This window comes from Homo sapiens, chromosome 8, assembly GCF_000001405.40.
Source record: "Homo sapiens chromosome 8, GRCh38.p14 Primary Assembly".
In the NCBI taxonomy this organism is placed as follows: domain Eukaryota; kingdom Metazoa; phylum Chordata; class Mammalia; order Primates; family Hominidae; genus Homo; species Homo sapiens.
Window position 1 is genome coordinate 2,494,200 of NC_000008.11, and position 18,639 is coordinate 2,512,838.

The 18,639-nt window shown below is 44.0% G+C and overlaps 1 annotated feature.

The window, feature by feature from the left end:
- Positions 11,331–12,530: an enhancer, noted in NCBI's record as "CDK7 strongly-dependent group 2 enhancer chr8:2362643-2363842 (GRCh37/hg19 assembly coordinates)". NCBI's record gives its function as "activates an origin of replication core promoter dependent on BRD2, BRD4, P300/CBP, MED14 and CDK7 cofactors, with strong dependence on CDK7, by STARR-seq in HCT116 cells {active_cell/tissue: HCT116}" and the evidence as "EXISTENCE:reporter gene assay evidence [ECO:0000049][PMID:35650434]".

Below are 18,639 nucleotides of genomic sequence, written 5' to 3' on the forward strand. Positions count from 1 at the left end.
AAAGAAATCAATGCAAATTCCTTTTAAATATTCCTGTAAGCTAAAGGAATGCTTAATATTAAATTATACGAAAACAAATTATAAATTAAAACAATAAAACAGTCTCTGACAGACAGGTACAAAATGATCTTGTAATTACCTTTATCTAGGAAAATAGACATAGAAACAGAGTGAATTTCTAAATTAGTTTGCTTATTAGAATGTACCTTATACAGAAGGGGGCATTATCTCTGTAATTAGAAAGAACCTGATGTTTTCAAAACATCCAAGCCAACACATTGTGAAATGTTAAATGAAAATGCTGAATTTCTCTACAAAAAAATAGATTGGAAAATTGGTATTTTGTTGGCTTAACTGAATCTGTTTAAGAAACACGCCTGCAATCCAAGCACTTTGGGAGACTTAGGTGGGGGGATCACTTGAAGTCAGGAGTTTGAGACCAGCCTGGCCAACATGGTGAAACATTGTCTCTGCTAAAAATTCAAGAATTAGCTAGGCATGGTGGTGGGCACCTGTAATCCCAGCTACTCAGGAGGCTGAGGGAGGAGAATCGCTTGAATCCGGGAGGTGGAGGTTGCAGTGAGCTGAGATGTTGCCACTGCACTCCAGTCTGGGCGACAGAAGGAGACTCTGTCTCAAAATAAATAAATAGAATACTTGTAGACAATCTATCATACACTTCCCAATACCACATACAAAGAATAGCAATAGCAATGCCCCCCACACCCAACGGGAAACACATCCAGATGGTGGGTTACCAGCATTGAGTCAGGGCTGGCCCCACAGTCCTCAAATTCTTGTCTTCTTGGGAGAAAAAAATTGGTCAAGAGACAGAAGTAGATTTAAGGCAGAAAGGAGAATGTATTGGAGCAAGGAGAAGTCCACTCAGAAAGAATGAAGCAGGCAGCTCCAAAGACTGAGTGCCCCACCTGACTGTCGCTCAGGGCTACTATGGAGTTACTATCCTCTGTTGTTTATCCTGGTCTCTTTCCCTCGTCCTTCCCTTTGGGCAGGTTGTTGGCTAATCGCCCCGTGCGGTGTCTTGCTGGCGTCTGCAGGGGCCACACGTGCCATTTGTTGGTTTAAATTATGCGCATGCTGTGTAAGGGCAATTTTCCCTTACCAGTCTAGGACCCGCACAGGAAGGTCATATACAGGTCAAACTCCACCATTTTGCCCCTTACTGCGCAAGCCCGGACATGTCCACAGGGGAAGGTCAAATGCTTCCTTTTTAAGTTCTTATTAGGAAGTCGTGGGCCACAGGCTCAGGATGTCTCCTGTATGTTAGGAAATTTTCTTTTCCCTGTTACCAGCCCCTTGACAGTCACCTGACATTCCTTGGAGCCTAGTCCTTCTCTGCTCTTGTAACCGCCCAATGGGTTCACCTTGCCTGCTGCCTAGACAGAGCCGATTCATCAAGACAGAAGACGTGCGTTAGAGAAATAGTAATTCACACGGAGGAGGCTGTGCAGGAGACTGCAGTTTTATTATTACTCAAATCAGTCTCTCTGAGCATTTGGGAGCAGAGTTTTTAAGGACAATTTGGTGGGTGGGGGGAAGCCGGTGAGCCAGAAGTGCTGATTGTTCGGGGATGAAATCATAGAGAGTTGAAGCTATTCTCTTGCACTGAGTCAATTCCTGGGTGGGGGTCACAAGATCAGATGAGCCAGTTTATCTGTCTGGGTGGTGCCAGCTGATCCATCAAGTGCAGGGTTTGCAAAATATATCAAGTACTGATCTTAGGAGCAGTTTGGGGAGGGTCAGACTCTTGTAGCTTCCAGCTGCATGGCTCCTAAGCCATAATTTCTAATCTTGTGGCTAATATTAGTCCTATAAAGGCAATCTAATCCCCAGATGAGAAGGAGATCTGCTTTGGGAAAGGACTGTTATTATCTTTGTTTTAAACTATAAACTATAAGTTCCTCCCAAAGTTAGTTCAGCCTATGCCCAGGAATGAACAAGGACAGCTTGGAGGTTAGAAGCAAGATGGAATCAATTAAGTTAGATCTCTTTCAGTGTCTCCATCATAATTTTGCAAAGGCATAATTTTGTAATTAAGTTAGATCTCTTTCACTGTCTCAGTCATAATTTTGCAAAGGCAATTTCACTCATATCTGCCTGTCCACCTATTCTCACAGTGGTGGAGTCAGGGGGACAAGGGAGGGAATGGAGCTTTTGTTCTGGGGTCAACTCACTCATTCTGTAGCAGCAACAGATTCAAAGTCTCAGTGACTCACAGGCAGATGGTTTTTCTTACAGCTGCATTTCTCTCCTGAGTCACCTGCACTTGGGTGCCCCAGCTGGAAGAGCCATCTTTATACCTATTGCCTTGGGGAGAAACTTGATGGTTGGGTGCTAGCTGGCTCCACACAGGTGAGAAATTGTGCACACACTACATCCAATTCTGGGACAGGAATGGCAGAGGAAGAGAAGGCAGGGCAGCAAATATTTGGGAACAAGAACACAGCCAGTTACAGTGTGAGGGAGATAAATCATCGTGTTAGAGGGTATTAAACCGAGATGGCTCTTGGTGTTATGCCATTAGTCCATTAATGGAGGAGCCTACATAACTCCATCTCAGGTGTGTGGTCATGCAAAGAAAGACAGAAGGACAGTCTGGCATCTGACAGGTTGTGCAGTTAGATTGATTAATCTGAACCCATTTAATATCATAAATAACATTAGATTGATATGATCAAGGTTTGATGGATAGGAGCTTTAAAATCCCCACAAACATTACATATCTCTTTTTGAAATCTGGCTTTATGGGACAACAGCACATTTTTGGTTTTAGGGGTCAAGAGAGCATCATCAATAATGCATATGGGGTAAAGTCACATCGTCGTTTGTGTTGCACTGATCTGCTAAGTAAATTCTATCGTGTTGCAAAAGGTGGACATTTTGCTGAAAAATGTGTATTTCTTGATATCACACTAGGAATGCATTTTGTAAATATCCACCCAAAGACAGCGTTGGATAGAGTAAGCAGCTGTGACAATGTGAACATCAGGAAGGCAGGCCAGTGTGCTGGGAGAAAGGGGCACTCTCTTTAAGCCGCTGCTTTGTAAGCTTCAGAGATGCATCCGGACAGAGACAGCAACAGGAATTTGTGCCTCCATTGTAGCCATGCCCTGGGGGCATGCCAGCCCAGTTAAGGCACCAGTCCACGTGGAAATGTTGGGCACACACTGGCCTTTGCTGCCTGACACAGAGTCAGACCAGCACCTTGAGCCAGGCGGTCTTCAGGACAGAGCCAGCTGTGGGGTCATTCTGTGTGGCTTCCCAGACAGTTAGCCAGGTGGAAGGATATTTGCTGTCTGCAAGTCTCTCAAGCTACAGAATTGTGGTTTGGTGGAGCATGCAAATGTGCGACCCTCTCTTTCTAGAAATCCCGAGTGTGCAGTTGTCACTGGGGTCCACAGCTGGGAAGACATGCAGCTAAATGCACTCTCAGGTCATGTCTTCCTCTGTGCAAGGCTTCCCACGGTTCCTGGCTGCACTGACAAGACCCACCACCCACAGCCTCTGCGCATCCTGGGGGCTCAGCTCAGCTGCCGTGGAGTGAGCCCTGTAGCAGTATTTGTAACTGGCATAAGGGGTCCCCTCCCAAAACTTGCAGGAAATCTTTTGGCAGAAGCAGAAGCTCCGTACTGAGACGTTCAGAGTGAAATGTTCTTGTTCTTGTTGCCCTGTGTTTTGGAGTCATTAAATCACAACTGGGCTCACCTCTGCTGTTCAGGACAATCATTCCGGTCCTTACCTTTCACCAGGGGAAACTGTGGGTGTGGATTAAGATCTTGCGTTGTGAGAGAAATGTCTAGCACCTTCTTAGAGTTATAGGGGAGAATTGGACCTCATGCATTATAAATTGTGTTCACATATTAGCTTTATTTAATGTGACTCTAGTCTTTGGACCAATGACTATTGAGTTTTAAAGTATAGATAGACCAATGAGAATTTGATAGTTATTTTTGAAAAGTCAATAACATGATGGCTTTATATATCCTGGTAAGTGAAATATAGACTAACTTATAGAAGTTATTGGAAGGCATATTTTTTTCTAAGAAAAACTTTGAAAGGTCTATGAGCTGGCCAAAGAAGGAACGTACTGTCTCAGGAGGCAGTGTGTCCTATCCCTGGACACGTTCAAGCACAGGGTAACTTACTGTTTGGCTGGATTTTTGTAGAATGGATTAAAGTATCAAATCATTGTTTATCGTTCAGTAGAGTTTTTTTGTTTGTTTTTGGTATAGTTATATAACTATTGATCTACCCAAAATCTTTATTAACCTTTTAACTGTGCATATAGCATACACCAGTTCCTGTGTTGGCTAGTTATACCAAGAGGTGTTAATTTTAGTATTCCCATGCTCAGCTTTCTAACTAGAGAATATTGTATGTCAAAAGGAATAAGGTCCAAATGTGGCCGAACGTATTTAAACCTATCCTAATTACAAGGAAAAGTGTAAAAAGTAAACTTCCACATCTAGATAGCCCTAGAGACTGCCAGCTATATTCATTTGTCATTCTGGCGAGGATATATTTTTGATGATTGAATTTGCATTTATCTCGTGCCGAATGGTTTTGAGCTCTTGGCTGTGAGTGCACCATTTGGCATCTTCTGGGAAGAGCTTGCGCAAGTCCTGTGCTTATTCTTAATGGAGTTGTTTATCATTTCTCACAATAATTTGTAGCAGGTGTTCATGCATCTAGGGTAGGAGTCATTTGTTGGATAAATAGATTTCAGGTCTTTTCTTCTGTTCTGGCTTTTTCTTTCATTCTCTTTATGGTACTTTTTTTGATAAGCTGAGATTTTCAATTTTAATGTAGTCCAGTTATCCTTGTCTCTTTTTATGATTAGTGTTTTCTGTTGTTTAAAAAAATACTATTCTGGTATATTCTAATATTGTTCTACTTTCTATGTTTAGTTATATTAACCATCTTTAACCAAAACTCTCATATTCCTTCCTGGTAGGCCTGATTCATGCCTTTGAAAAACTGGCAGTGTCCACTAAACTAACTTGTAAGTATCTCCTAACACACAGCATTTCCACCACTAAATAAATACTCAACAGAAACAGATTTGTATTCACCCGAAGACACTACAGCTTAAAGTTTATAGCAGCCTTAACCACGTTAGTCCAATGCTGGAAGAAACTCAAATAGCCATCAAATAAGAATGGGCAAATAGACGGTGGCATGTTCTTGTAATTAAACACTACACTGCAAAGAAAAGAAGAAAATTACTTGCAACGACACGAATGGATCTCAAAAACATTATGTTGAGCAAAGAACGCCAAGAACAAGCATGTACATACTGTTGGGGACCATTTCTTGCCATTCAAAAACTGGCAAAACTAATGTATGTCAGTGAAGATGAGAATAATGGTTACCTTTAATGCTGACACAAGTATTGACGTAAGGAGCGTGGGTGCATATTTTGGGGGTACTGAACATGTTCTTTATCCTGATCTTGGTGTGGTTCCACAAGACTAAACATATGTGAAAACTGACCAAGGTTTACACTTGAGGTTTGTGAACCTAAACAAAGTCAATCACACTTAAATTAAGAATGAAAGGAAAAGATCTCAATTTGTTTAACAAGGCAGTAGCAGCCATGTTAACAATAACAACCTCAGAAGGTGCTCGAGTTATAGCTAAAGGACTTAGTTCTGAGCTTCGTATGTTTAAAACATGTATGCAAAATTGCTAAGTATGTCTCGGGTCACTTTGCAACATCCTGGGAGATTTTAAGCCCATGGAAATATAGGGACCAGAAGGTGGCCCTTGAAAATCAAATCATCTGCTGTGTCACTTCCATACATTTTCTGATCATGCCCCTTTCTATGAAAAAATTAATTTCCCAAGTGAAACAGTTCTTCCTCTGAATTGACTTTGGCTTAAAACAACAGCTTTAAAGGTAACTGCATAGACAAAATGGTGCAAGGAAGCATGCAATCCACCCACTAAGGAGGAACAATGAGTTAGTTACATGTTTTAATGGCTGTGGCTAGGATTCGACTGTTGAAAAAGGCTGGGATCTCTGGAAGTGATGGTGACAGGAAGCAGCCAAATGCCTAGGCAGATAGGGGCAGGTACCAGGTACCCAATGACCCCTACCATCAAGCCAAAGACAGTTTAAAGCCTAAAAGCCGAGCTACAGGTTAAATCCTCAGACTGGATTGAGAACCTGTCTTCCAGTTCTCGGACTGGACTGTGAACCTGTCTTCCTGTTCTCACACTGGATTGATAACCTGTCTTCCTGTTCTCGAACTGGATTGATAATCTGTCTTTCTGTTCTTTGACTCGATTGAGAACCTATCTTCCTGTTCTCAGACTGGATTGAGAACCTGTCTTCCTATTCTCAGACTGGATTGGGAGCCTGTTTTCCTATCCTCAGACTGAATTGAGAAATTATCTTCCTGTTTGGTGTGCTTTCCTTGGATTGATCCCCACCCTTCACCTATTTTACATATACCTCCCCTTTCCTAATTGGTTTTCCACACTGTTGTGCCAGCCTTTGAGTGGTGTCTTCACTTTAAACTTTTTTGCATACTCACAAACCAATCAGCATGCACCTTCCATCCTGTGCCTACAAAGAGCCCAGACTCACTTGGTAGAGTAGGAGACAACCTGAGCTCGGGGAAGATGACCGGCCCTTTCTATCCCCTCTCCAGCTCCCCTTTCTACTAACAGCCATTTTCATTGCTCAATAAAACTCTCCACCTTCATCATCCTTCAATTGTCTGTGTGAGCTCATTCTTTGTGGATGTCAGAAAACAGCTTGGGACCCACTGAGTGTGGGTACCCAGAAAGGCCGTCACACCAGTCCTTTGCCTTTACCAGTCGGGGCAGCAGCTCAAGGCAATGAGTCAAGGGGCCAACTGAGCTGCTAACACACTGCCGTCCGTGGATGGCAGAACTAAGAAAGCACTGCAACACCTGCTCTGGGGCTTTGGGATCGCAGGCACCTCCTCCTGGGCACCACTGCAGGCTTTGCATGGAGGTTTCTCCTGTGTCAACACCGGAGCTGTCAGCCTGGACACCGTACTTGCTCACTTATGTGCTCCTTCCTGCAAGGGGCTGAGCACAGCAGGCTGAATGGAGGGGCTCCCCTCCCACTTGAATGCTCCCTCCCAACATGAACGCTCGTGGTTGGTATCTGACTCAGCACAGCCTTCCTTTCACTGCAGTGTGGACTTAGAATCCCTCATATCAAAGCAGCATAGGCTGGCTCCCAAATGACACAAGTTCACTTGAGGTAACAGCTCCGCTTTCAAATTCTATGATGTTGTTTCAAGTGCCATATTCAACTCAAAAAAGGTAAATTTAATGAGTTGCATGATTCAAGTTGTCCATGAGATAGAGCAGACCCATAGCTCAGGTGGAGTACACCAGGCAATAGGAACGCCCTCACATTGCCTCGGTGACGGCTCTCCCAGGACCCCTGCTCATCACGTGCTCTGCCCTGAAGCACCTCATGAATCACAGGCAGTTCTGTAGGAGACGAGTTCAGTGTGGCCCAAGCATCAGAGTTTCTGTTGGCGTAGCTTGATTTGGTGATCACTTTGGAAATATCTACGACTCTGGAGGAATATGTTTTCCTTTCAACAACACCCTCAATGTGTTTTCCTTTAGAGATTAAGATGTATTAATTTATCAATGAATAGATTAATTAAGTGCTCAAGGTTTTCTCCTTTATAAGTATCTATATTCTTTACTGGTACAGAACTTTATGCTTAACAGAAAATCCAATCGAGTTGCTGGTGGGGCCAACATTATTTCCTTGAATGTGGGAGCTGAAAAAGTCAACCACCTGAATGGAGCATGAGTAGAGGAAGCACCTTTGACGGGTCAGGAAACCCTGCAGGAGTGCATTCTACAGGAAGCACCTTTGACGGGACAGGAAGCCCTGCAGGAGTGCATTCTACAGGAAGTACCTTTGACGGGTCAGGAAACCCTGCAGGAGTACATTCTACAGGAAGCACCTCTGACAAGTCAGGAAGCCCTGCAGGAGTGCATTCTACAGGAAGTACCTTTGACAGGTCAGGAAGCCCTGCAGGAGTGCATTCTACAGGAAGTACCTTTGATGGGTCAGGAAGCCCTGCAGGAGTGCATTCCGTACTAAGACACCACTGCATCAGAAGAGAAACTGTGCTGGAGTTCCCAAGAGTGCTAAAATGAACCCAGTTAAGGTGAAATACAAGCAGGAGTGTTTCTGATACATATTTTTAGGGCAAGCTTTCCTCCTCAAAACACAATGAGGAATTGTGTTTTATAATTTTGCACTTAAAACTGTTGTTTCATACTGATCTGCTTCTAAGTGTATTTACATTAATACCAGCTTCTGCAGGGAAATTGCAATATCATAAACATGAAAAATTCATGATTCATGTCATTGCTAATAAAGACCCTATAACCAGAATGCTGAAAATATTCACAATCGAGAAAATAAATTAATATTTTAATGAAACCGGAGAACGGGGGTACATTTGAGATCATGTTATAATCAGTTGTCATGTTTTATGTTTAGGTCGCAAAGTTTACAGTTGTCAAAACTTGCTCAAATAGTAAAGAAATGGCTCTAATAATTGAATTTGACAATTTAAACTCAATTGTAGTATATTAAAACATTATTTCCAGGGAGGTCTTGAAAGATAGTTTGTGCCTAATAGGAAGGGTAGCATAATTTTAAATGACGGGCAGAATACTCCAAAAATTATTATGCGTAGGAAAATATTTACATTATTAGGATTAAGAAACAGGCAGTCGAAATAGAATTTGGTTTAAATTATGGGCACATGAAATTTGAAATGCAAGGAGGGAAAAAGCTCATTTTTTTTATAGCCTGGTTTCTTAGGAATGGTTATAAATAAGATTTATTGTCAACGTTTTCATTGTGAAATGTTAATAAAGCATCAAATATTTGAAAGATTTAATAGAAGACAAAGGACGTGCCTTGTTTGTTGAGCCCACCAGTTAAAACTTTATGTTATTTCTGTCCAGTAAACCTTTATGGAGTTTCTACTCTGTATTCAGCTTATGTCACTGTGAGAATTCAAAGGCAAGTGATCAGTTGTTCTTGGCCTCAAACCCCCCAACAAGGCAGTGCAGGAGAGGACCCAGAAGGGGGCTGCAGAGGGCAGGTGGGCGGACGGGGGCCATGGGCACTGGGAGGGGCCCCTGGGGCTGTTATCCACCATGGTGGAGAAGGGAAGGTGGGTCTCTGGGCATAGGTGGTGTGGAAAACCAACCCAATCATTCCATCTGGATACTTCTTTCAGTCCCTTATGGGGAGTCACTGATATTTATTCAAACATTCTGTGTGCTTGCTTCACATGCCTGCTGTGAACACTGCAAGTCTGTACACGGCTTGCCGAGAATGCAGGTTCTGCCTCAGAGACGAGACTTCTTGGCATTGCGAATCGATGTACACGTGACTTCTCCACACAGGCCTCACTCCTCAGCATGGGGCAGCAGGACCCGGCGTCCAATCCAATCATGATGTTGGCCTTTTGGGGAGATTTAGGAGGAAGATTATGGTGTCAGCTTCATAGACAAAAAGATGGGGTTCTAGGAGACTCTAGTGACAGAATCAGCACTTCAGCAACAGTCTTCTGACCACCTTTCCACCTATTTGTCCATTTGAGTTATGGAAGTCTGTTAAGGAAAGCATAAATAAGGAATTGGAATAAAGTTCTCTATTGGAGTCCTGCACCCTTGCTGGTGGATAAACAAGCTTTATACTTTGAAGTGGCTGAAAAGGTATACTCTCACTTTTGTAAACATTCAGTGTTGTTTTGTTTTGTCTTTTTCTCTCTCCCTCCTGTTACTGCTGTTCCAATCATTAGAACGGTATAACTGTTGCTCGTGATAATTTCCTATCAGGAGAAATTTAGTGATGTCTGAACCTGGAAACTCTTGAGAACAAACCTCCAGCAGCATGAAGTTTCGGGAAGACAGGCTGCTCTCTGCAAGGATGGAGAGAAGTCACCCGGGGCTGCCTCGGGACTATGTGTGTCTCCATTCATGAAAACCAGAATGATTTAGAACCAGAATGTGGGATACCTTGATGTGGCCCTCCCCTTTTGGCCCCGGCACAGCACACAGTCCCGTTGCTGGTTCCCACTCCACTCCTGTGGAAGGTTCCAGAACCCACAGAGCCTTGCCAGCAGTCCCGCCAGTGCTCACTGGGCTTCCTTGCTGCTGTTCCAGGGCCTCCCTGGCACTGGCATCTTACCTCCCCTGCCCTGCTCTTTCCTGGAAGCATGCCCCAAATAGAAGCAAGAGGAAGCAGCCTTCCCCTCCACACTATTGCCCCAGCTCAGACCACAAGGGGTTTTGTCATTTACCAAACACACCAGGATACTTTCTGCCTCTAGACCCCATTTTATCTTCTCTGCCTGTGGGATTCATTTTCGAAACAGGCCTTTCACATCTGGACAACACAGACGTCTGCCTGACTCCCACCAGGGTGCTTGTCCTGGGAGGGAGCTTGTCCGGGGAGGGAGCTCGTCCCAGGAGGCAGCGCTTTGCTGGTTTGGTGGGGCCTGATGTCTCTCCTTCCTCCCATCTGGGAAGCCACTTGAGGGCAGCCTCTGACTGAACAGGGTGCATTCCTAGCACCCACAACAGCACTGTCCTATGTGCTGGGCTCTGTAATTATTTGTTGAAGAGATGCATATTTAAGTCAGATTTTTTAAAATGAAAGCTTAACATAACATCATGGAGTACACTGTTAAAATCCTTTAAGTCACCTGTTTAGAAATATGAGGGCCCTACATTGTTGGATGCCAATCCATAAAGACACATCGCACAGAAGTCAACACAGGACTTTTCTGAGAGCCGCTGGCCTGGCCTCTGTCCTCCGTCCTCCCTCCTCGCCGGCCCGGCTTCTTTAAAGCAGAATGCACGAAGTTTCCAGAGCAAGTGGAGCCCGGCTTCCCTGAAGGAGATTGCACCGAAGTCACAGACCGAGTGATGTCTGGCTTCCATGAAGGTGATTTCACATGGAGTTCACAGACCGAGTGGCGCTGGCTTCCCTGAGGAGAGTGGAAAGAGGTCACACGCTGAATGGACCTGGCTTCTCTGAAGGAGATTGCACCAAGCTCACACACCACGTGGTGCCTGGGTTCCCTGAGGAGATTGCACCCAGGTAACAGACTGAGTGGTGTTCAGCATTTCTGAGTGGAATGCACCAAGGTCACAGAGCCCGGCTTTCCTGAAGGAGATTACATGGAGTTCACAGAGCAAGTGGTACCCGGCTTCTCTGAGGAGAATGCACTGAATTCACACTCCAAGTGGTGACCGGCTTTACTGAGGAGATTGCACTGAGGTCACAGACAAAGTGGTGTCCGGCTTTCCTGAAGGAGAGTGCATGCAGTTCACAGAGCGAGTGGTACCCGGCTTCCCTGAGAATGCACTGAATTCACACACCGAGTGGTGACCAGCTTCTCTGAGGAGAATGCACTGAGGTCACAGACTGAGTGGTGCCTGGCTTCCATAAATGAAAACGCACTGAGATCATAGACCGAGTGGTATCTGGCTTTCCTGAAAAGGAGTCGGCACTGAGGTCACAGAGTGAGTGCTGCTGGCTTCTCTGAGTTGAACGCACCGAATTCACACACGGAGTGGTGCCTGGCTTTACTGAGGAGAATACACTGAAGTCACAGACTGAGTGGTGCCAGATTCTCTGAGGAGATTGCACCGAGGTCATAGACCAAGTGGTGTCCGGCTTTCCTGAAGGAGACTGCATGGATTTCACAGACTGAGTGCTGCTCGGCTTCTCTGAGGAGAATGCACCAAGTGGTGTCCGGCTTTCCTGAAGGAGATTGCATGAAGTCCACAGACCAAGTGGTGACGGCTTCCCTGAGGAGAATGCACGGAGTTCACAGACCGAATGGGTGCTGGCTTCCCTGAGGAGATGGTACCGAGGTCACAGACCGAGTGGTGCCCGGCTTCCACGAAGGCGATTGCATGGAGTCCACAGACCAAGTGGTGATGGCTTCCCTGAGGAGAATGCACCAAAATCACAGACCCAGTGTTGGCTGACTTCCCTGAAGGAGACCGCACGGAAGTCACAGGCTGCGTGTTGGCTGGCTTCCCTGAGGAGAATGCAACCAGGTCACAGACCAAGTGGAACGCAGCTTCTCTGAGGAGAATGCACCGAATTTACCCCAAGTGGTGCCCGGCTTCTCTAAGGAGATTGCACTGAGGTCGCAGACTGAGTGGTATCCAGCATTTCTGAGGGGAATGTACCTAGATCATAGACGGAGTGGAGCCCAGCTTTCCTGAAGGAGATTGCATGGAGTTCACAGAGCTAGTGGTGCCCCTCTTCTCTGAGGAGACTGCACCGAATTCACACACTGAACGGTGCCGGGCTTCACTGAGGAGACTGCACTGAGGTCACAGACCAGGTGGAGCCCGGCTTCCCTGAAGGAGAATGCACTGAAATCACAGACCGAGTGGTGCCACCTTCTCTGAGGAGAATGCACTGAGGTCACAGACCGAGTGATGTCCAGCTTCCCTGAAGGAGATTGGTTGGAGTTCACAGACCGAGTGGTGCCGCCTTCTCTGAGGAGAATGCACTGAGGTCACAGACCGAGTGGCGCCAGCTTTTCTGAAGGAGATTGCAGGGAAGTCACAGGCTGAGTGTTGGCTGGCTTCCCTGAGGAAACTGTAACCAGGTCCCAGACCTGGTGTCCAGCTTTCCTGAAGGAGACTGCGCCGAGTTCACAGACCGAGTGGTGTCGGCTTCTCTGAGGAGATTCCACCAAAGTCACCGACCAAGTGGTGCACAGCTTCACTGAGGAGACTGCACCCAGGTCACAGACTGAGTGATGTCCGGCTTCCCTGAAGGAGATTGCACCAAGTTCACAGAGCAAGTGGTGTCGCTTTTCCTGAAGGAGATTGTGCTGAGGTCACAGGCTGAGTGGTGTCCAGATTTCCTGAGGAGAATGCACCAAGGTCACAGACTGAGTGGCGTCCGACTTCCGTAGGGGAGAGTGCGCTGAGTTCACACACTGAGTAGTGTCTGGCTTCTCTGAAGGAGAATGTGCTGACGTCACAGACCTAGCGGTGCTTTTGTATCACTCTCCGCTGGTGATTCTTCGCCTGTCTGCAGGGTTCTCACTGCCGTTTCTGCCTGACAAACTCCTACTTATTCAACACCTCCCAGCTCACACTCAACTTCTCTGCAGAAGCTTCCAATTCCTTATCCCGCCTGTCTGCAGGGTTCTCACTGCCGTTCCTGCCTGACAAACTCCTACTTATTCAATACCTCCCAGCTCACACTCAGCTTCTCTGCAGAAGCTTCCAATTCCTTATCCCTCTGCCAAAGTTACTTGTTCTCTTCTCTGAGCTGTTTTGCACTTTGTTCATGCTTTGGGTGGTAGTTTTGAAGTCGGTCCTCCCGTGGTGACTTCTTCAGGGCAGCCTGTGCACCATGTGTTTTTAATTCCACAGTGGCCCGGGTCCCCCTAGGGCAGGGGGTCCCCAACCCCCCAGGCCATGGACCACTATCTGTCCCTGGCCTTTTAGGAGCTGACCTGCACAGCAGGAGGCGAATGGTGGAGGGCGAACAAGTGACGCTTCCCCTGTATCTACGACTGCACCCCATCACTCGCATTACCACCTGAGCTCTGCCTCCTGTTAGATCAGCAGTGACACTATATTCTCATAGGAGCTCAAACCCTGCTGTGAACTGCGTATGTGCGAGATCTAGGTTGTGCGCTCCTGCTGAGAATTTAATGCCTGGTGATCTGCCACTGTCCCCCATCATCCCCAGATGATACCATCTAGTTGCAGGAAAACAAGCTCGGAACTCCCACTGATTCTGCATGACAGTGAGTTGCATAATTATTTTATCTTACAATGTAAAAATAATAGAAATATAGTGCAGAATAAATGTAATATGCTTGAATCATCCTGAAACCATCTCCCATGCCCTGTCCATGGAAAAATTATCTTCCTCAAAACTGGTCCCTGGTGCCAAAAGATTGGGGGCTGCTGCCCTAGGGCGTTGTTTGTGACCTTGTCAATGGCTCGATGGTGCCAACAAAGGTGACAGCTCCTCACAAACAATCTATGCACACTGATTACTCTGTAGAGCCCTGGAGGGTCTTTGAGTGGTTTCACATGTGCCGAATAATAATAATAATAGCAATGAAAACTTCAGATTGATATCGTAATATTATATTGTACAATATTATATGATGTACCAGCTGAATCAATGAATTTGGTGCATGCCCAACTTAAAATGCTTTCATTTCTCTTTCATATTCAGGAAAACGTAATGGACATTACATTCTTTAGAAAAATGATTAAACATCTAATAGAAATCTAACACATTAAAATAGTTTTTAAAATGTGTTCTGATGATATTTCTCATCATAATATAATTGAATGCCTACTCGGCAACAAAGCAAAATGAAACAACAAAAACAAAAATGACAAAGAAGAGCAAAAAAAGAGACAAAGACAAAAAGAAAAAGAAGGGGAGGAAAGAAAGAAATAAGTGAGGAAGGGAAAGGGGAAGGAAGGAAAGAAAGAAAGAAGAAAAGAAGAAAAGAAAATTGAACATTTTGGCCTATGCACAACTCAAAGTTTCATAGATCACTCTGGTTACAAACCACTTATAGAGAGACTTAAACACTTCTGAATATTATGACTAGTCTTTAAAAACTAAAATTCGACGGAAGCATTACCATTTTTGCTATGCCAGAACTGTGTGCAATGATAATGAAAACATTAAAAAGTAAAATTAAATGTTATATTTTATATAATGTGTGTGTGTGTAAATCAGCCATTAGCTTTAGGAACTTAAAATATTTAATGGAAGCAAACAGTGTTGTGTTTCATCATACCGAGTAAATCTGTTCTTAAGATAAACAATTATGATTACGATTTGGTGTCAGATGAAAGTAGATAATTTTTACAAATGCCTAAATTGATTTGTTAATTCTTGATTTTGTTTCTTAGGCAATTGAAGCTTAAGTGACTTGGTTTGTGTTGAAGTACGCATTGAAGGATTCTTTCAGACAGCACAAAATTCACCATTTTTTTTTTTGTCCTTGGGTAGGCTTGAGGGTCTATAGATAGGGCTTTGCTCTTTATATAAAATGAAATCAGCTCAGACACTCTTAAATACCGCTAATAAGTTACATATTCCTCTGCCTTTAATGCTTTACACATTAGTATAATCTGGAAGTGACAAGTGACTTTTGGAAATAATTCACTAATAAACTCTTTTTTACCTTAGAATGAGATTGTGAATCGTAGCATTTAACTTGGAACTGAATGTTACTGTTTAATTTCTTTAGCAGGCAGATGCTGAACTTTTCTTATTCCAATCTTGAAATATCTGACCTCTAAAACTCACCAGCTCAGAAAAGATTATCTTGGTATTAAAAGATTTGTTAGCTCTGTTTAAAAGGTCTATTTGCCGTCCTCACTGCATCTGTAAGCCTCCTGGGTAGGGGATTGTCGCTTCAGCGACTCTCTGACCTGTGCCCCTCTCTTCCGCCCTCTGGCTGTGATGCTAGTTTGACTTCATCACGTAGAAAAATTACCACACGACTTGGACCCAGAGGGTCATAGAAGTGTCCTGTGTTCAACTTATTTTTCTACATCAGGTCTAGCTAAATTCCTTTGCAGTAAATCTTTGAATGACTACTCTGAGAATTAATAGGTGGCATGTTATATTAAGAGATAGAGTTATTTCATTTCGGTCTGGTATATTTGTCTACAACTGCTGTTCAAAAGCTTTTGCAAAATGAGGACTGATGAAGCTTCTGTTAGAATTATTTTTTTCCTTGGGAATCATGAGAATTTAGTATAATTACTATTAATTTTTATCAGGTGCTTTGTTAAAAGTAGACAATTTTAGACCATGGCCACTTATTTTTTTCTTTAGAAAATATGTGCCAGGCACTGTGGCTCACGCCTGTAATCCCAGCACTTTGGGAGCCTGAGGTGGGTGGACCATGAGGTCAGGAGTTAGAGACCAGCCTGGCCAATATGGTGAAACCCCATCTCTCCTAAAAATACACAAATTAGCTGGGCATGGTGGCACATGCCTGTAATCCCAGTTACTAGGGAGGCTGAGGCAGAAGAATCGCTTGAACCTGGGAGGCAGAGGTTGAAGTGAGCTGAGATCACTCCACTGTACTCCAGCCTGGGTGACAGAGCGAGACTCTGTCTCAAAAAAAAAATAAAGAAAAAGAAAAAGAAAATATGTTAACCATATTCTTAAATTTAATTAAAATGAAAGAGTTGAATTAACACTCCTTTTTCTCAATCAAAAAACAAACCAATTTGATTAAATATAGATAGATAAGTGGAGACAGATAGATAGACACAGGTATAGATATAGACACCTTAGCTACATAATCCAGAAACTAGAGAGATTTGGCCAACTCTATTCCAACAGTGTCTTCAGTATGTTTACAATTAACTAGTATACTAGGAAGCATTACAGTAATCACTTATACAAAGCTATACTTTCCAATCCAATATTGACTATAATGCATATTTTAAGTGAAAATGAATTAAGTCTGCTGTGAGAGTAAAAATGTGAAGAGTTAATTTGAACAAAAAAAGGACAGTAGGACATTTTTAAAAAATGAATTATAGAAATAAAAGGAGCATGTAGTGATTTTTGTTTCAGAAGAAGGAAGACTATATTTCAGTGAAATTAGAAGAAAATGAAGATAATTATATACTCACCAGCAAAGGAAAGCTTCCCCAAAGAATTACAAAGTGAATAACACCAGCCACATGTCACAGAACAGGATTTTATATCACCATAAAGCCAGTCCAGAGGTAACAGGTGCTGCACACATCACTGAGGTGTCACCCAGCAGCAGGTACATCCCTAGAGGAATTATCAGATGGAGAGAAAAGTGAGCCCCAGAGCTGTCAGGATAGCTGCAGCCAGTTGAGGTGCATGAAACAGTCCCTGCTTTGTGCTCTTGTTGCAGGGCGAGCAAACCCAAAATTGGGGCTCAGCCTGGGAGGGTTCTAGGCTTCATCCAGGAAAGAATTCAAAGGTGAGCCAGTGGTGTTGATAACAACTTTTATTGAAGTGACAATGCACGACAGCAGCAGAGGTCCTGCTCCTTGCAGAGCAGGGCGACCCCACAGGCCGTGTGCTGAGTGGCAGCTCAGAGGCAGTGCTGTGCTCAGAGCTACGCGCACTCATATTTGTGTTTTTGCTCATATTTCACGTGACTTCATTGAAGAGGACAATATTTGAAAGCATGGTCCCAGGATGGCATTAGGATTTCTGACGCTTTACATTAAAAGTTTTATTTGCTCTTGATTCATGTTTTCAAAACAATTGATATACTCTGAGACTATTTATTTTGAGCAGAGAATGGACCCAGAAATACTTTTCACAAAGTTCAAACTGTTAATTATATGCTAATTAAGGGGCGGGTTATGCGTCAATTTCTAGACAAAGGGTGGGAACTTTCAGTGTTGCCACGGAAAGGGGCAGCAATTTGTAGGTGTTGCATGGCAACAGCAAACTGAGATGGCACTGGTGGGGTGTCTTGGGGAGAGGTGCCTTTGCATCTTCCCTGTTTCTGGCAGCTTTCAATCTGGTCTGGAGTCCAAGCCCTACTTTCAGATTCAAGTTCTGCTTCCTACCTCACTAGGAGTTAGATAAATACTAGTTGAATCTTTGAATCAGTGGATAGGTGAATTACTACCTCCAAGGCCAAACTTAAGCATTGGGTTAAGGTTTTACATGAGACTATCAGAGGAAAATTTGTGCTGAATTTAATTAGAAAAATGGAAAAACAACAGCCCCATAAATATGTGAGCATTCCCCCAGGACACAGACAATCTGCAAAAACTAATAATGAAAGCTCCGCCCAGGAAAATTTGCCATAATTCCTATAAGTATTTGCCTCAGGTAAGGCAAGGTCTAACGAATCTTAAGAACTCAAATGGGACACTCTGAGATAAGGCAGTGCAGGGTGACCCACAGAGCCTTGTGTGCCGCCAGGGTTCTCTTGGGAAGATCAGGCAGATAGATTTGGATATGTAGATATATAGTTATAGATATAGACAGAGCTATGCAGGTAGCTGTAGATACAGTGATAGAATAGAGTCATATGTGCAGATAGGGACAGAGATAGAGACACAGATATTTAATAGACACAGATACAGAGACAGAAATAAAATAGAGATGAAGGTACAGACAGAGATACAGATGTAAATATACATACAGCTATTTATTTTCAAATTCTCTCTCACCAGCTTCCCCTGCTTATACCATTTTTCGAAGTACAGAAGACAATCTCGGCGTCTTTTCTTCAGGTCCTTTCTTGAACCACATTACAACATCTGAGATAGGCAACTAGAATTCACTCTAACAAAGCCCTGTTGTCTGTTTTTCTCTCTCGTATAAGCAAAAGCCTGCTGCGTGCTGTTCCAGGCTGGGCACCTGTCAGCTGGACTGGTCTAGCATGTGAAGGACTCATTGTGCTGGAAGAATTTCAAAACCCACTTTCTAGGGTAGCAGAAGGCCACAGCCTCAGGTCATTAATGTGTAACCAGAGCACAGCAGGCTTTTGGAGTCCACAGCGAAGGGTGTACACCTGTGTGATGGGGACGTGGCTGCAAGGCACAGAG